Here is an 18,859-nt window from a genome sequence, read left to right as displayed (position 1 = left end):
GGCGCGGTGGCTCTCACCTGTAATCCCAGCACTTTGGGAGGCTGAGGCGGGCGGATCACCTGAGGTCAGGAGTTCAAGACCAGCCTAGCCAACATAACCAAACTCCGTCTCTATTAAAAGTACAAAAATTAGCCAGGCATGGTGGCGCGTGCCTGTAATCCCAGCTACTTGTGAGGCTGAGGCAGGAGAATTGCTTGAACCCAGAAGGTGGAGGTTGCAGTGAGCTGAGATGGCGCCATTGCACTCCAGCCTGGGCAACAAGAGCGAGACTCCATCTCAAAAAAAAAAAAAAACCGGCATTATTAGCACTATATAAAAAGCCTTACATTTATTTTTATTTTTTCTTGGAGAAGAGAGTATTTATAAAACAGCTTGCATATTGTCTTGATAAAGTGTTTATTCCTTAGCCTTCTTTCTTACTTTCTTTGTATAGCTTTGTTACTTTCATATCAAAGAGTAAATTCCTCAATGTTTGGAGCTAAAGAAATAGAACTCTTAATAACCTGACTTAGAAATCATTACAGTGGGCTGGGCACGGTGGCTTACACCTGTAATCCCAGCACTTTGGGAGGCTGAGGCAGGTGGATCATTTGAGGTCAGGAGTTGGAGACCAGCTTGACCAACATGGTGAAACCCTGTCTCTACTAAAAATACAAAAAAATTAACCAGGTGTGGTGGCACATGCTTGTAATCCCAGCTACTCGGGAGGCTGAGGCAGGCGAATCACTTGAACCCGGGAGGCGGAGTTTGCAGTGAGCCGAGATCTCACCACTGTACTCCAGCCTGGGCGACAGAGTGAGACTCTGTCTCAAGGAAAAAAAAAAAAAAACTATTAAAATGACAGAAATGCAAGATTACCCTCTCCTGGACCTTAATTCATTGTAGGCCAGTGTTTCTAGGAATAGTAGTTCCACTATCTTAGGAATAAGTAAGAAAATGTGTTGAGACTAATTCCAAGGAGAAATATTGATCACCCCCAACTCGGGCGTCATGTATCATTTCAGGGTAAATAAATAAAATCTTGAGAATCTTAAAAACTCTGATCTTTCCTTTACAGTTCACTTGCTTTCTATTGCAAGTTAACAAAAGTCAATTCCAAGTGGTTTAAAACAAGTGGCTTCATTGATTTACACGTCAAAAAAATTCAGAGGTAGGGTCAGTGTTAAGAAAGTTTCAACAGTGTCATCAAAGACCTAGTTTCTTTCCTCATACTAACAACTTCATTCCAAGATGGGCTCCCCTTAGGGTTATAGGATGACTACCAGAAGCAACTGCAGCCACATGCATCCTCGTAGACATTCAGTATTGAGAAACAAAAGTCCCTAGCTTCATTTTAAATATACAGTACTTTGCTTAGCCAATCGACTTTAGCAAGAGGGATGAAGATATTTTCATAGGTTTGAAGATCACTCCTGGGGTTGGCAGGAGTGATAACATCACTGTTGTACAAATTCCCTCTCTCTTCCATTCTACAGGGAAAAATGAGACAAATGGTGGAAAATCACAGTGTTATTTAATCTAGTGTTCCCTCATGTAAAAACATATGAAAAGTCCAAATAAGCATATATTTGGGATGGGATGGTTGGGGGCATTGCTGCTCAGTTGTTTCTCTATGTGTTAGATTGGTTGCACTGGGATTTAATAAGTCAATTTTTAAAAAAGTAATAAATTTTAAATTTTTTTGAATTTTTAAAAAGTCAATTAAATAATTTATTTCTTTCTAATGCCAGGGACAAGATCCACCAGCTCCTCCTGTGGACTAACTTTGTGATATGGGAAGTGAAAATAGTTAACACCTTGCACGACCAAACGAACGAAGATGACCAGAGTACTCTTAACCCCATTAGAACTGTTTTTCCTTTTGTATCTGCAATATGGGATGGTATTGTTTTCATGAGCTTCTAGAAATTTCACTTGCAAGTTTATTTTTGCTTCCTGTGTTACTGCCATTCCTATTTACAGTATATTTGAGTGAATGATTATATTTTTAAAAAGTTACATGGGGCTTTTTTGGTTGTCCTAAACTTACAAACATTCCACTCATTCTGTTTGTAACTGTGATTATAATTTTTGTGATAATTTCTGGCCTGATTGAAGGAAATTTGAGAGGTCTGCATTTATATATTTTAAATAGATTTGATAGGTTTTTAAATTGCTTTTTTTCATAAGGTATTTATAAAGTTATTTGGGGTTGTCTGGGATTGTGTGAAAGAAAATTAGAACCACGCTGTATTTACATTTACCTTGGTAGTTTATTTGTGGATGGCAGTTTTCTGTAGTTTTGGGGACTGTGGTAGCTCTTGGATTGTTTTGCAAATTACAGCTGAAATCTGTGTCATGGATTAAACTGGCTTATGTGGCTAGAATAGGAAGAGAGAAAAAATGAAATGGTTGTTTACTAATTTTATACTCCCATTAAAAATCTCTAATGTTAAGAAAACCTTAAATAAACATGATTGATCAATATGGCAGATGATTTACAGTCCATTATATGACATTTGTAAGCCACTCAACACTAGCCTTACAAGGTTCATGAAAGGAGGAAAACATTAATTCTTTCTGCCTTTGCTGATATAATCCACATAGTAATAATTTAAGCTATAATTTATTTTTAAAATGAGTGCCTCTTGGGAAGCTTCTTTTCTGTTCTAACAGTTCCCTGTTAAAATGAAAATCTTAGGCCAGTGCAGTGGCTCACACCTGTAATCCCAGCACTTTGGGAGGCTGAGGTGGGTGGATCACTTGAGGTCAGGAGTTCGAGACCAGCCTGGCCAACATGGTGAAACCCTGTCTCTACTAAAAATACAGAAAAATTAGCCAGGGTTGGTGCATGTGCCTGTAATCCCAGCTACTCAGGAGGCCAAAGCAGGAGAATTGCTTGAACCCGGGAGGTGGAGGTTGCAGTGAACCAAGATCGCACCACTGCATTCCAGCCTAAGCAATAGAGCGAGACTCCCTCTCAAAAAAAAAAAAAGAAGAAAATCTTAAAGCTGTATTAGGGCCTGTTAGGTTACTGATATTTGAATGCCTATTTACTTATTTACTACATTGAGTCTTTTGTTATCCTCTGACCTATAAAATATTTTAATAAATTACTGGTTTACTTCAAGGGAAAAGAAGGAAAATGAGAAACATACATCTTTTTTTCACTCCTTATCTCATTCCTGTTTGGTGATGGGATGGATTGGGGTAGGAAGGAATGTTAATATGAGAGAAATTTTAAAATGTATAAAAAAGTAAAAGGTTGTATTGTTTTGCTCAGTTTGAAATAAAGTGAATACCAATAGCACTTAAAAATGTCTGCATGGGCTGGGCACGGTGGCTCACGCCTGTAATCCCAGCACTTTGGGAGGCCGAGGCAGGCGAATCACCTGAGGTCAGGAGTTCGAGACCAGCCTGACCAACATGGTGAAACCTTATCTCTACTAAAAATGCAAAAATTAGCCAGGCATGGTGGTGTGTGCCTATAATCCCAGCTACTGGGGAAGCTGAGGCAGGAAATTGCTTGAACCTGGGAGACGGAGGTTGCAGTAAGCTGAGATCGTGCCACTGCACTCCAATCAGGGCGACAGAGCGAGACTCTGTCTCAAAATAAATAAATAAATAAAAATGTCTGCATGACCCATATGGTTATGAAGTTTTTTTCCTAGCAAATGATTGCAGATTATTTATGGGGGCTAGAAGATATTTTGCTATCAATGTAAGGATTTTTTTCCCCTTAGGTCAGTCTATTCACTGTTTAGATCTGGTAAATTACTTGTATGAATTGAATAAATTCTCTGTATCATTGTACTGTTTAATAGTCTCTGATACAATTGTGATACTCATAAGGTATTTTCCCCCCTTTATTATGATTACATTCTAGATCATAAACATTGTAAGGGCATCTTTTCATTATATAATCCAATATTGATTGTTTGAATTCCTCCTTGTACATCCTGGCTTTGTGCTCAATTTCTTGAAATAATATAACCAACTCTAAATTACTTGTGTTAATAGATCGGTAACATGACACAGGTAAGTTAAATCCTGGATAAATGAGCCCCACAGAATAAAGGTTTTTCCTCTTGCTGTGGCCTACTGGAAGCCTTCCTAACTCTATAGCTGGTAAAGTAGAGCAGAAAGGGCCAGAATGGCTTAAGATGGAGCTAAATCCCTATAGCATTCCATTTTCTGCTCTTGCCTCTTGAACTTAGAAGGCTTGCCCATATATCCTAACAATCTGTTCTCTGAGCTGTTAGGCCAATCCCTGGCAAGAGATATTGATGTAGTCACTGAATCTATGGCTCACAAATAATTGAAAATTGGCTTTGGGAGCTGGGCGCAGTGACTCATGCCTGTAATCCCAGCACTTTGGGAGGCTGGGGCAGGTGGATCACTTGAGGTCAGGAGGTTGAGACCAGCCTGGCCAAGACGGTGAAACCCCGTGCCTACAAAAAATTAGCCGGGTTTGGTGACACGGCCTGTAGTCTTAGCTACTCGGGAGGCTGAGGCAGGAGAATCGCTTGAGCCTGGGAGACAGGTTGCAGTAAGCCAAGATCACGCCACTGCACTCCAGCTTGAGTGACAGAGTGAGACCCTGTCTCAAAAAAAAAAGGCTTTAGAAGGCTTTATTGGATGAAATGGCTGAAACTTGGATACAGAATGTCTAGTATTAGACACCTAAAAATCTGGATTCTTTTTGGTTGTTGTTTTGAGATGGAGTTTTGCTCTTTCGCCCAAGCTGGAGTGAAGTGGCGCGACCTTGGCTCACTGCAACATCCACCCCCAGGTTCGAGCGATTCTCCTTCCTCAGCCTCCTGAGTAGCTGGGATTATAAGTGCCCACCACCACGCCCAGCTAATTTTTGTATCTTTAGTAGAGATGGGGTTTCGCCATGTAGGCCAGGCTGGTCTCAAACTCCTGACCTCAGGTGATCCACCCACTATGGCCTCCCAAAGTGCTAGGATTACAGATGTGAGCCACCGTGCCTGGCCAGAAAATCTGGATTCTTATTCCTAGTTCTTCATTTCTGTCACATGCACTTAGTTGACATTACATCTACATATATTAGCTTTTTCCTACATGAGCCATCTATTTACTTAGTAACCAGTGTTCTTAATGAAGTATTTAGTCTTGGGTTTCTTGTAAAATTTCTCTGCATTCCTTAGACAGTGTACTATACATGAAATATTCTTGTTGACCTAGTAATTTATATTATTCCATTTAATTCTTAAACCTATGGCCTTTTTATTGAGCACACTCTTAAATCATTATTTGGCTTGTAAACATTCATCTGAAGTGTGGCTACAATCCTCTTTAAATAATCTAGGAAAAAAGAAAGATAAAGCTTACATTTTCACAGTTTTGGCTCTTAAACACATTCCACAAATGCCATTAAGAATTTATTTTGTTTTAGGCCAGTCATGGTGGCTCATGCCTGTAATCCCAGCAATTTGGGAGGCTGAGGCAAGAACTGCTTGAGCCCAGGAGTTTGAGACTAGCCTGGGCAACATAGCAAGACCCTGTCTCTACCAAAAAAAAAAAAGTTTATTTTGTTTTAGAGTCATTTAATGTGTTTTTATGCACAATAATAGTGGGAGGTTGTTTTGTTGCATTTGTTTGTTTGTTTTGTTTTGTTTTGTTTTGCTTTCCATGTGGGAAAAGTTAACATTGGAACTGTTTCTAGTAAAAGATTTTTTTCAGGCTGGGCACGGTGGCTCATGCCTGTAATCCCAACACTTTGGGAGACCGAGGGAGCTGGATCACCTGAGGTCAGGAGTTCGAGACCAGCCTGGCCAACATGGAAAAACTCCATCTCCACTAAAAATACAAAAGTAGCCTGGTGTGGTGGCACATGCCTGTAATCCCAGCTACTTGGGAAGCTGAGGCAGGAGAATCACTTGAACCTGGGAGGTGGAGGTTGCAGTGAGCCAAGATCACGCCATTGCACTCCAGCCTGGGCAACAAGAGTGAAACTCCGTCTCAAAAAAAAAAAAAAAAAGATGTTTTTCATTTTTTTCATGTTATCTATCCAAGCACTGTTCCATGGTCAGCAAGTCATATTTCATAATGTGGATTTTCCAAAATAATTATTGAATACAGCTATTCTATGGCTACTTTTAGTGTTTTTGTGGTATGTGGTGTGGGAGTGTTTATGGAATTACCAGTATCTTAAATTTTCAAAGGAACCTTGGAAGTCTATCACTCTAAATGAAAGTCTGTCACTCTACATGAATTATGTGCTCAAATTTGACCAACTCAGTTTAAGACACAAAACAGTAATTTGAAGAAGGAAAAATGAAGAGAGTTTCTAGTTTAATGGGTTAAATTTTTGTTGTTGCAATAGTAAGTTTAGTCTTCTTATAATATTTCTAAATGAAAAATCATAGGTATTTGTTACCATGTGTGAAGATTAGTTTGTTAAAAGCAAAAGTGGTCGTGTGATATGCTAAATGTTAATTACTGATTTTATATGTTTAAATCACGCCAAACAAATTATGTCTGTGCCATCCAGGGTCTGTTGTTAATCTTTTTCTGAGTACTTGGATTGGGATAAAGGGCTTGTACTATGCACTTTTTATTAATGAATAAATAGAAAACGTTAGTAACACTTTGTGTTTTCTGTTTGGCTTTTGTGGGAAGAGAAGCAAGCATCTTTTGCCTAGTAGATGTTAACATTGTGTATTAAACAGTTTCTTTGTAAGACCTAACTAAAGACATTCCTAAGAGAGAACTTAAGTTTTAAGAAAAGTTGTGAGAAAAATATTCATAAAATATGCAGTATGGGGCCAGTATTCAGAAGTAGAGTTTCTCTCTTGGAAATTAGATTGCAGTCACATTTCTTTGGTTATTTTCTTTCTCTCTCTCTTCCTAGAATACCAGGTAAAATAGACATTTACTTTGAGGGACTAATATCCAATAGTGTTAATTATTTAAGCAGATATATCTAGCTCAAAAGGAACCAGACATGTCACTGTACCAAAAACACACAAAAGTGAAAATTTGCTTCTGTTCTGTGACCTAGAATGTGTCCAGACATTAAAGGTCATGAATACTCATATACATGTAAAAATAGTAACACTGCTCTGGCATGATTTTGACGTCAGTGTTTATGTAATAACTTCAGTGTTATATTTAAAATAGATAAATTTGTGAAATAACAATTTCTTGGAGACAGTCAACTTTTTATGATTTAATCTAAAGATTGTCATGTACATGTCAACGGATATCTGAATCCTCAGTGAAACTGTTAAGTTTTCATTAAATGACTCTGCTGCAATACTAGTTTTCTTCTCAGAAAATGGAATTCAAATAAAATAAGTTTTTTGGTCTTGGCATTTCACCTGATGACTTTCTCTGTTCTGGATCTCAATTTGTAGAGTTGTTGGGGGTTCCCCCCCCTCCAAAAGATGCTCCATAAACACCAACTACAATTATCTTTCATGATCATATTTTTAAAAATTGGAGTTACCTGTGTGATCTTTTCCCATTAGTTGCTTGTAGGGGACTTTAGTGTGCGTATCTCTTCTCAGACAAATGTATTATGTTCGTTCAATAAACACTTCAACAAATTTTTATACTTGTTTCTTAACTCTCTATAGGCTTTAAAATGGATTTTATTCAGGATTTGATTACAGAAACTATTTCAAACCATCAGATGCCAAATTGTCTACTGACGTTAGTGAGGAGATGTCTGGGAGGCAAGGACTATGTAGGGGTGAAAACAATATATATAGTTTTAAAGATAAAGCAACTTTCTTTCTTTTTTCTTTTTCTTTTTTTTTTTTTTTTTTTTTTGAGACATAGTATCACTCTGTCACCCAGGCTGGAGTACAGTGGCACAATCTTGGCTCACTGCAACCTCTACCCTCCTGGTTTCAAACGATTCTCCTGCCTCAGCCTCCCGAGTAGCTGGGATTACAGGCGCCTGCCACTGCGCCTGGCTAATTTTTGTATTTTTAGTAGAGACGGGTCTTCACCATCTTGGCCAGGCTGGTCTTGAACTCCTGACCTCGTGATCCACCTGCCTCAGCCTCCCAAAGTGCTGGGATTACAGGCGTGAGCCACTGTGCCCTGCCAGGATAAAAAAACTTTGATATCAATACATGGTTTTGGTTTTGATTTTTTGGTTTTTGGTTTTTTTTTTTTTTTTGAGACAGAGTCTTGCTCTGTCGCCAGGCTGGAGTGCAGTGGCACGATCTCGGCTCACTGCAACCTCCGCCTCTGGGGTTCAAGCAATTATCCTGCCTCGGCCTCCGGAGTAGCTGAGACTACCGGCGCGTGCCACCACACCTGGCTAATTTTTGTATTTTTAGTAGAGACAGGGTTTCACCATGTTGGCCAGAATGGTCTTGATCTCTTGACCTCATGATCTGCCCGCCTCGGCCTCCCAAAGTGCTGGGATTACAGGCGTGAGCCAAGTGCCTGGCCATCAGTACATGTTTTATTGGGAGGTGGGAGGATCACTTGATGCCGGGAGTTCAGGACCAGCCTGAGCAACATAGACTCTGTCTCTACAAAAATAAAATAAAACTTAGCGGGACATGATGGCCTGCATCTGCAGTCCCAGCTACTTGGGAGGCTGAGGTGGGAGGATGGTTTGAGCCCAGTAGTTCCAGGCTATTGTGTGAGCTGTGATGATGGCACCACTGCACTCTAGCTAGGGCAACAGAGCCAGATCCTGAGTCAAAAATAAATGTTTTAAAGAGTATTATTTCCTTTTACAAATCTCCACTTGTTTCTAGGAAATTTAGAAATGAGAAAAGTATTATTTGCAATGTCTGGAATGCCAGAGTCTAACCTCTTAAATATGTGCTCATAACCTCAGATACTTGGTCTATGCTTGATAATTAATGGTTTTGAATTGCAGTGTTTATTAGTTTTGAAAATTTGACCAGAATTAAACATAAATACCACACAGCAGGTTCAGCATTATAGAAAAAGCCTCTTAAATTGTTTTTAAATAAATGAATCTGTTATGTATGTAATTCAGTCAGTGTCAGAAAGAGAAGCACTTTTCATATACAAAAGGCATCTCAGACCCTGGGTTGAATGCAGCTTTTCATGACAACTAATTAGTATGTAAACAAACTTTGGAAGTCTAGATGTGTTTAAAGGGACTTCCTTACAATTAATCCAGCCAGGACAATTTTGTGGTTACAAAATACAGGACAGATGGAAATCTGACACCAGAGCCTATACCCCCAATAAATGGGTTAAGATTTATATCCTTGCAAATGTTGTTTGTCTTCATTTTTATCTAACAGCCGTTTTTTTTTTTGAGATAGTCTCACTTTGTCACCCAGGCTGGAATGCAGCAGCACCATTATGGCTCACTGCAGCCTCGACCCCTGGAGCTCAAGCTATTCTCCCGCCTCAGCCCCACAAGCAGCTGAGACTACAGGCGCACCCCACCACACCAGGCTAATTTTTGCAGAGATGGGGTTTCACCGTGTTGCCCAGGCTGGTCTCCAACTCCTGAGCTCAAGCTATCCTCTTGCCTCGGCCTCCAAAAGTGCTGGCATTACAGGCATGAGCCTGTTACAGGCCGAAAGAATGAGGGTCGTGACCAACTCAGTATACCACTGGAGGCTATATGAGCAAATAGAAAACTGTTCTCATGAAAGCAGGATGTTGGAAAACTAACAACTGTGTCTGCTGCCAGAAGGGTTGCTGAGGGCAGTCACACCCCAAGCACAGTGTTCCTTGTGATTATCTATAGGAACATCTGAAGCCTGTTGTACAAAGAAAGCAATTATGTATACCTGTGATAAATCAAGCAACTGACCAACTGCTACCTCTCCCTCCCTGCTCTTTCTACCTAATAAATACGAAGGGCTGTAGAAGCTCAGGGCCCTTGCTCACTAGAAGGAGCCCCCTGACCCCTTCTTCCAAAAATACTTTTTGTCTTTGTCTTCGTTTCTGCATTCATCCCCCTTCGTTCACTCCCATAACAACCAACAGCGACAACTGGCACCTAGGACAGGGACGTGAGTGAAGGTCTGCTGGAGCAGAGAAACTGACACTGACAAGAAGAACGAGAATGAGAAACCCTGCGACGAGTCTGCTGACAGCTAATATAAGGTCAGTGCCCTAAAGAGGTACTGGGAACGGGAAGTTTCTGAATCAGGGTAACATGGGGGAAGAATTTGGCTATTTTCTTTTTTATATTTGGAGTTTAGTTCATCCTGCCATTATTCATTTCTTATTCTGCTAGACAGCAGGAGTCATGTTCAGAGTCAAAAAATTTGAAAGAATCTTTCTGTTCTCTCAACAGCGCCAATTAAAAATAATAAACAGGAGCAGGAGGATGAAAATTGGCCTGTGTCACCCCCTCTAGTAGCAGAAACATCTGAACCGCCTCCTTCAGTAGCAGAAATAGAGACCCCAATACAAAGAACTTTACACTCTACTGCTATGGCTGGAGAACCCTTAGGACCTTGAGCTTTTCCTATTTCCGTAAGGCCTGATCCACATAATCCACAGCAGTTTATTCATGAACACACCCCACTAGAATTTAAGTTGCTGAAGGAATTAAAAGCTAGTGTAGTTAATAATGGAATACAAAGCCCATTTACTTTAGGACTGCTAGAATCTATTTGGCGCTATGCGCCTTCCACCCTTTGATGTAAAGCATTTGGCTTGCACTTGTTTGTCTGCTAGTGCATACCTGATATGGTATTTAAATTGGCAAGAACTGTGTGCAGACCAGGCTAGATAGAATCGTGCTGCTGGACACAGAGACATTACAGAGGATGCTGTTAGGCAGTGGCCCCTATTCAGACCTAGAACATCAAATAGCACTCCCAGACGCTGCTTGTAAGCAGTGTGCCTTGGCTGTTAAACGCACCTGGGCCACAATTCCAGAGGAAAGGGTCCCAGTACAATCTCTTACATATCATGAAAGGGTCACAGGAGCTCTATGCACATTTTCTTGCAAGATTACCATAGGCAGTGAAGTGTCAGATTTCTCTTACCATGGCTACAGAAATGCTAACCTTAACTAGCTTTTGAGAATGCAAACACGGACTGTAAACATGCATTGGCATCTGTGAGATGTATAAAAAGCTTAGGAAATTTTATCAAAGCTTGTCAGGATGTGGGAACTGAGCTTCATCGCTCTACGATGTTGGCTGAAGCAAAGGAATAATAGATAATCATTATCCATCAGACAAAGTTTTGCAATTTTATAAAGTTTACCCTTTTATCCTCCCTGTGATTACTCATCACAAGCCTATTCCAGGTGGCCAGACTTATTTCACTGACGGCTCTTCCAAAGTCTGAGCATCTATTTATGGACCTAAGCATATTAAAACAATAAAAATCCCTGGTGTTTCAGCTCAATGCTCAGAATTAATGGCAGTTATTCAGGTTTTACAGCTCACTGCTTCCTCTCCTATTAATATTGTCTGTGATTTAGCCTATGTTGTAAATGTAGCCAGTCGCATTGAGACTGCTACTATTAAAAGCACCCTAGAACCAGAGCTGTTTAACTTGTTTCTAAGACTTCAGCGAGCTGTTTGCTCTCATGCTGCTCCTTTTCAAATTTCTCATATTCGCTCTGACACACAACTTCCTGGACCACTACCTCTAGGTAATGATAGAGCAGATAAATTGATTGGTTCTGTGTTTCAGCAAGCTGAAGCCTCTCATGCATTACTGCATCAAAACACCTCTGCCCTTACTTGTATGTTTCATCTGCCTCGAAGCCAGGCTCGAGCTATTGTGCAAGCCTGCCCCACTTGTCAGCATGTCCCTGGTGTTATACCGGTAGAAGGATGTAACCCACGAGGCTTAGCTCCAAATGAAATCTGGCAAATTGATGTTACACATATAGCAGCCTTTGACAAACTTAGCTATGTTCATATGACTATAGACACTTATTCTCATATGCTGCATGCTACATGTCAAACAGGTGAAACAGCTGGCCATGTCCAATGACATTGTCTGTTGTCATTTGCCGATATGAGGGTCCCTAAACAATTAAAAACTGACAATGGACCTGCTTAAGTTAGTCATGCTTTTCAAAATTGTTTACAGTTATAGGCAGTCACTCACAAAACAAGAATTCCTTATAACCCTCGAGGACAAGGAATTATAGAGCAGGCACATCAAACATTACAACATGCGCTGAAAAAACAAAAAGGAGGTATAGGAGACCAGTTACCACCTCAAACAATACTACATTTAGCATTATTTACTTTAAATTTTTTAACTCCTGGTACAGATAATAAGACTCCGGTAGAATGACACTGGCAAATGTTAGAGGGAAAAAGGAAAGTTTACCCAAAAGTATTATGGAAATCCCTGGAAGAAGGACAATGGAAAGGCCTGGTAGATTTACTGACATGGGGATGAGGGTATGCTTGTGTTTTACAGATCAAGAAAACCACACAAGAAGATGAGAAACTGCTGGAGCATCAGGGTCAGGCAAAAACCCCTGACTCCATGTTTATGGCCATGCTAGCTATGATATCCTGTGTGCTATGTTTTCCCTGTGCAGAGGCAAAAACATATTGGGCTTATGTTCCTAACCCCCCGGTAGTATGACCGGGGTGACACTCCTCCTGAGATATATCATGATCAAGGAGCATGGGCACCGGGACCCTTAACTCCCCCTGACACAGAGCAATTAGACTCTCAGAACAATGGTATCAATTATACCACTCCATTGGAGGGCCTTTCTTTATGCATCACCCAGGATACACTGCTCAACTGCAGTTGCCTTGCAATTCAATCCCAGGCATGGTTGAGTTACCATGGAAAATTTACGTACCTATTGGGCCTTAGTTCTACTAATATTACTGGTGTAGTTACTAATCACTCCCGGCCCCATCACCCAAATTGTATTAATTATATAGAATGGGCTCCCTTTGATAATTCTAACCCCCCTCCTTGGACCCCGTGTCTTAGCTCCCTAGCTAGACAACAGTCCATGCTAATGGGAGACATTATTTACTGGGGTCCCCATGGTCATTTGGTTGGGAGACATGAGCATCAGACCTCATGGCATTAACTTTGCTGGAACTGGTGGCAAAACTTTAACATCTCCCACTACATCACATTGCAATTCAATCTCAATCTGCTGCCCAAATTGCTTGACACAGCACATGCTTTAGCTCACCTTTGCCTCAATGGCATTATCAAGGAAAGAGAGGTCCAATTCAGGAGTCAATATGGAAAGCAGCACTCCCATTTATGAATGGCAGCATTTGGATTGGGACACTATCCAATAATAGTAATTGTGCTAAACACAGTTTTAATGTTACCCTTGTAGAAAATATTACCACTCAATTTACAATTTGTTTTTAATCCTTATATTTTCTTAGCAGCAAAAAAAACCCACCTCCAGGTAGATGATGCCCAATTGACTTGTGATTCCTGTCAACTGTATCATTGCCTTAATCATAGCACAATACAAACACATGACATATCCACCCTAACAATTCTAGGTCATGTTCCTGGATTATGAATTCCTGTAAATTTATCTTAGCCTTGGGCAGCCACCCCCGCTTTACATCTTATGAAACTCCTTTTTACTCCGCTTACTCATCGTGCTCATAGAGCCTTAGGCATGATAATTTTTGTTATAGTCTCCTTAGTTACATTAATAACCTCTGTTGTGTTGTCCTCAGCAGCAACGCACAGCTCCATTCAAACAGCTCAATATGTGGAAAACTGGACATGCACAGTCGACCAGGCATGGATGCTTCAAAATAAAATTAACACCGAAATACAAACAGAGGTGGCAATGTTAAAGACTACTGTTCTATGGCTAGGGGAACAAGTACAAAGTTTGCAGTTGCAGCAGCAATGCGTTGTCATTTTAATCATACTCATATTTGTGTGACCAATTTGGTATATAACCAAAGTGAATATCCATTGAGCCTTGTAAAAGCCCATTTACAGGGAGCTTTCACATTCAATGTTACTTTTGATATTAATGATTTACAAAGTAAAATCCTTAACTTGAATAAGCAGACTCAAGCGTTTCAGCCCTCTTTAAAAGCTTGGGCAGAATTCCAGCAAGGTTTAGACAGCCTTAACCCTGGGACCTACTTCAAATAGCATCTCAATGTCTTTTTTGTAACTATGGGATTAATGTTATTATATTTTTGTTTTTTGTTAACAGTCTGCAAAATCAGCTGGACCACCAAACGGCAATTGAGAGCTGCACAACCTGCAATTACCTTTATTCAATTAATGCAAAAACAAAAATGGGGAGATGTTACAGGCCGAAAGAATGAAGGTCGTGACCAACTCAGTATACCACTGAAGGCTATATGAGCAAACAGAAAACTGTTCTCATGAAAGCAGGATGTTGGAAAACTAACAACTGTGTCTGCCGCCAGAAGGGTTGCTGAGGGCAGTCATGCCCCAAGCGCAGTGTTCCTTGTGATTATCTATAGTAACATCTGAAGCCTGTTGTACAAAGGAAGCAATTATGTGTACCTGTGATAAATCAAGCAGCTGACCAACTGTTACCTCTCCCTCCCTGCTCTTTCTACCTAATAAATATGAAGGGCTGTAGAAGCTCAGGGCCCTTGCCCACTAGAAGCAAGGAGTCCCCTGACCCCTTCTTCCAAAAATACTCTTTTTGTCTTTGTCTTCATTTCTGCATTCGTCCCCCTTCGTTCACTCCCATAGCAACCAACAGCAACATGAGCCACCATCACACCCGGCAACATTTTCTTAAAAATTACATTTTACTTTGCTTTGTCTCACATTACACTTATGTCAACATCTTCTCATCTTTCCAAAGAGTTTCACTAGTAACTGCCTGTTGAAAGCTGGCAGTCTCAAACTTCAAGCATGATTCTGTAAGCCAAAGCTGAATTAGAAAATACAAAGCTTAAGAAAATCTTGGGCTAAATAAAGTAATATTGTAAATTTTAGTTTCTCCATTAAAGAATGGATAGGACTTACAAAATTTTCGTCCTCCATAACATCCAAGGAATTTTTTCATTGTGTCACATTTTTAAAACTGAGTCACATAGTCACACCTATGTAGGTGTCCACTGGCAATGGCTAATTCCTTGTGCCCTCTAGTATTAATAATTCTCTGATGCTAATCTCTAAAAGCATTAAAGATATTCAAAGAGGGCCAGGCACTGTGGCTCATGCCTGTAATCCAGGTACTTTGTGAGGCCAAGGCAAGAGGATCCCTTGAGCCCAGGAGTTCGAGACCAACCTGGGCAATATAGTGAGACCCTGTCTCTGTAAAAAAAATTCATAAAATTAAAAAAAAGAAAGATATTCAAAGAGCTTTTGATTGAAGATAGGTAACAATTGTCACCCTTTATCACTTCTGCTATAATTTTCATAATATACATGCTCTAACACAGTGACTCATAGTTCCCTTAATCAACTCTTCATCTAATTCTCAACTTCTTGTTTTCATTGTAGCAATTTTATCATTTGCATTACAAACATTTAGTATGCTGTCAATTTTTTAAAATAAAAAATAGGTTGGTGGGCATGGTGGCTCACACCTGTAATCTCAGCACTTTGGGAGGCCGGGGTGAGCAGATCACTTGAGGCCAGGAGTTCAAGACCAGCTTGGCCAACATAATAAAACCCTGCCTCTCTGCCTCTACAAAAAATACAAAAATTAGCCGCGTGTGGTGCACACTTGTAATCCCAGCTACTAGGGAGGCTGAGACATGATAATCGCTTGAACCTGGGAGGCAGAGGTTGCAGTGAGCTGAGATTGCACCACTGCACTCTAGCCTGGGCAACAGAACAAGACTCTGTCTCAAAAAATAAATAAATAAAATAAAATAAAATAAAAGGCTGGGCATAGTGGCTTACGCCTGTAATCCTAGCACTTTAGGAGGCTGAGACACTTGCATCACTTGAACCCAGAAGTTTGAGACCAGCCTGGGCAACATGGCGAAACTCCATCTCTACAAAAAATTTTAAAAATTAGCCAGGCATGGTGGTGCATGCCTGTAGTCCCAGCTACTCAGGAGGCTGAGGTGGGAGGATCACCTGAGTTCAGGAAGGGTGAGACTGCAGTGAGTGGTGATGGTTCACTGCACTACAGCGTGGGTGACACAGTGAGACCCTGTCTCAAAAATAAGTAAAATAATTTAAAAATATATTTAGTATTGTCAATAGTATTGTCAGTAGTTCCCAATTTAGCCTCGGGAAAAAAAATGCTAAGTAAAATAGCTTTGTGGGCCCATGGTGGCTCATGCCTGTAATCCCAGCACTCTGGAAGGCCGAGGTGGGCAGATCAGAGGTCAGGAGTTCGAGACCAGCCTGACCAACACGGCAAAACCCCATCTCTACTAAAAATACAAAATTTAGCCAGGCGTGGTGGTGCACGCCTGTAATCCCAGCTACTCAGGAGGCTGAGGCAGGAGAATCGCTTGAACCCAGGAGGCAGAGGTTGCAGTAAGCCGAGATCCCACCACTTCACTCCAGCCTGGGCAACAGAGCAAGACTCTGTCTCTAAAATTATTTTATGTATTTATTTATTTATTTTGAGACTCAGTCTCGCCCTATTGCCCAAGCTAGAGTGCAGTGGCGTGATCTCAGCTCACTGCAAACTCTGCCTCCTGGGTGCAAGCATTACTTGCACAATGCCAACAAATGCCAACAAATAAGGTAAATTAATTTCAGGGACTTCTAATTGCTGAAGGGAAATTAAAATATAATCATGGTGAGATACCTTTTTCTTTTTGACAGGATCTTGCTATATTGCCCAGGCTGGCCTCAGACTTCTGGGCTCAAGAAATCCATCAGCCTCAGCCACTCGAGTAGCTGAGATTACAGGTGTGCACCACCACACCTGGTTCTGAAAGAATTTTCTAAAGAGATGATATTTGAGTTGGGATCTGAATAATTCAGCTAAGGAAAGATCTGGGCAGTTTTCCAAGAGAAAAGAAACAATAGTAACAAGCACAAAGGCCCTGAAATGGAAATAGACTTGGCATTTTCAAGGGACTGAAGATCAAATGATGGGTACAAGATGAGAAGTAAGGTCTCTATCTTGTAGGATCTTGGAAGCCAAATAAAGGTTTTGGATTTTATTCTGAGTATAAAAGATAGCCATTGGTACAGGGGGTAGAAGTTATATGATCTGATTTATGATTTTATCTTACTCTGGCTGCTATGTAGAAAGATGAATTGTGTCAAGAAGAGAGGCAGAAAACTAGTAAACCACTGGAGTTCAGATAAGAGATATTAGTGGCTTTGACTAAGGTTGTAGCAGTACAAATTATAAGAAGAGATCAGATCTGGGATATATTTTGGAGGTACAGCCAATAAGTCACAACGATGGCCTGGCTATGAATGGGAAGGAAAAGAGAAAACAAAAGTGACATCTGGTTTGTGGGCTGAGCAACTAATGATATAAATTGATATAGAAAAGGTTTATAGTAAGGGAAAGAGGGGTGAGAAAGAACAGACTGGGAGTAAATATTAGTTGGATATAGATTCACTTGCTGGAATAAAGAGATCCAGTGGTTTAAACCAGATTAAAAGTTCTCTTTCATGTAACAACAATATAAGCAGTCTAGAGCTAAAATGTATGCTTCAGGTATTCAGAACCTACACTCTTTCTATTGTTGCTCCCCCAACCCCTAGAGCAGTGCTTCTCAAACTGGTTGTGCATGGTCCACCCAATGCTGCACTTCTCTGCCTGGTCAAAGAAAGTTCACCACAACATCCATTGGGTTAGTGTTCCAGCTAGAGGAGAATGAGGAGGGGATATTTTATAAGATGTGTAGACAAAACTAGAGAGCTCAAAGCATAAAGATAACTACAATCCCAGCTGCTATCCAGAGTGTCTGAATCAGTGTGATTAAACAGCTTGGAAATTGGAAGAATGGGTCTGAGTTCTGCCAAACTTCTCACATTTTAAGTTGGCATTTAATATGTTTCCAGGTGTAGGTTTAATATCCTTGACAAAAATAGAAAATATTAAACATTGCATAAGATGAAGTGGGAAAAATGGTTCATTATAAGGTTTGATATACCAAAGCTAAACTGCTTTATTGAATACATCTTGTAAATTTTGTAAGTTGCTTTTAAAAGAATCAAATTCACTGATTTACATGGCATCTTCTGTTGGAATTCAGAACCTCTCAATAGGCCAAAATGTCCTGATTCTAACTCTAAACTTCAGCCTTAACAAAAATACGTATTAAATGGGTGGCAAGACAGACTTGAGGATTCTTGATTCATCATTACAGGGGACTTACCCAAAACCCAAATGTAGTTTATCTCTGTTTGACATTCAGGAGAATTTTACCCTAGGTAATGGATCATTGTATGAGTCCATTTTCATGCTGCTGATAAAGACATACCTGGGCAATTTACAAAAGAAAGAGGTTTATTGCCGGGTGCAGTGGCTTACGCCTGTAATCTCAACACTTTGGGAGCCCAAGGTGGGCGGATCACAAGGTCAGGAGATCGATACCACCCTGGCTAACACGGTGAAACCCCGTCTCTACTAAAAATACAAAAAAATTAGGTGGGTGTGGTGGCAGGCGCCTGTGACAATGCCTGCTACACGGGAGGCTGAGGCAGGAGAATGGCGTGAACCTGGGAGGCGGAGCTTGCAGTGAGCCGAGATCGCGCCACTGCACTCCAGCCTGGGCAACAGAGTGAGACTCCGTCTCAAAAAAAAAAAAAAAAAAAAAAAAAAAGAAAGAGGTTTATTGGACTTACAGTTCCACGTGGCTGGGGAGGCCTCACAATCATGGTGGAAGGTGAAAGGCATGACTCACATGGTGGCAGACAAGAGAAGAGAGAAATAACTCTCATTTTTAAAACCATCAGATCTTGTAAGACTTATTCTCTATCATGAGGACAGCACAGGAAAGACCCACTCCCATTCTTCTTTTTTTTTTTTTTTTTAAGACTAAGT

General features: G+C 40.5%; 1 protein-coding gene and 1 long non-coding RNA gene across 8 annotated transcripts in view; one reads left to right on the top strand and one right to left on the bottom strand.

Moving 5' to 3' along the window:
- Nucleotides 1-7,553, top strand: part of SMIM14 (small integral membrane protein 14) — a 92,530-nt gene extending 84,977 nt beyond the window's left edge. For all 7 annotated transcript variants that reach the window (NM_174921.3, XM_047449746.1, NM_001317896.2 and 4 more), the window contains one exon: nt 1,731-7,553. In NM_174921.3, the coding sequence (NP_777581.1) occupies nt 1,731-1,763 (33 nt within the window). In that variant the 3' untranslated portion in view covers nt 1,764-7,553. The remainder of the gene's footprint in view (nt 1-1,730) is intronic.
- Nucleotides 1-18,859, bottom strand: part of UGDH-AS1 (UGDH antisense RNA 1) — a 66,869-nt gene that overhangs the window by 40,819 nt on the left and 7,191 nt on the right. The gene's annotated exons all lie outside the window — the stretch shown is intronic.

The sequence above is a fragment of the Homo sapiens genome, chromosome 4 (assembly GCF_000001405.40).
Source record: "Homo sapiens chromosome 4, GRCh38.p14 Primary Assembly".
NCBI lineage: Eukaryota > Metazoa > Chordata > Mammalia > Primates > Hominidae > Homo > Homo sapiens.
Note: the sequence above shows the minus strand (reverse complement) of the source record. Positions and strands in the feature narration are given on the sequence as shown.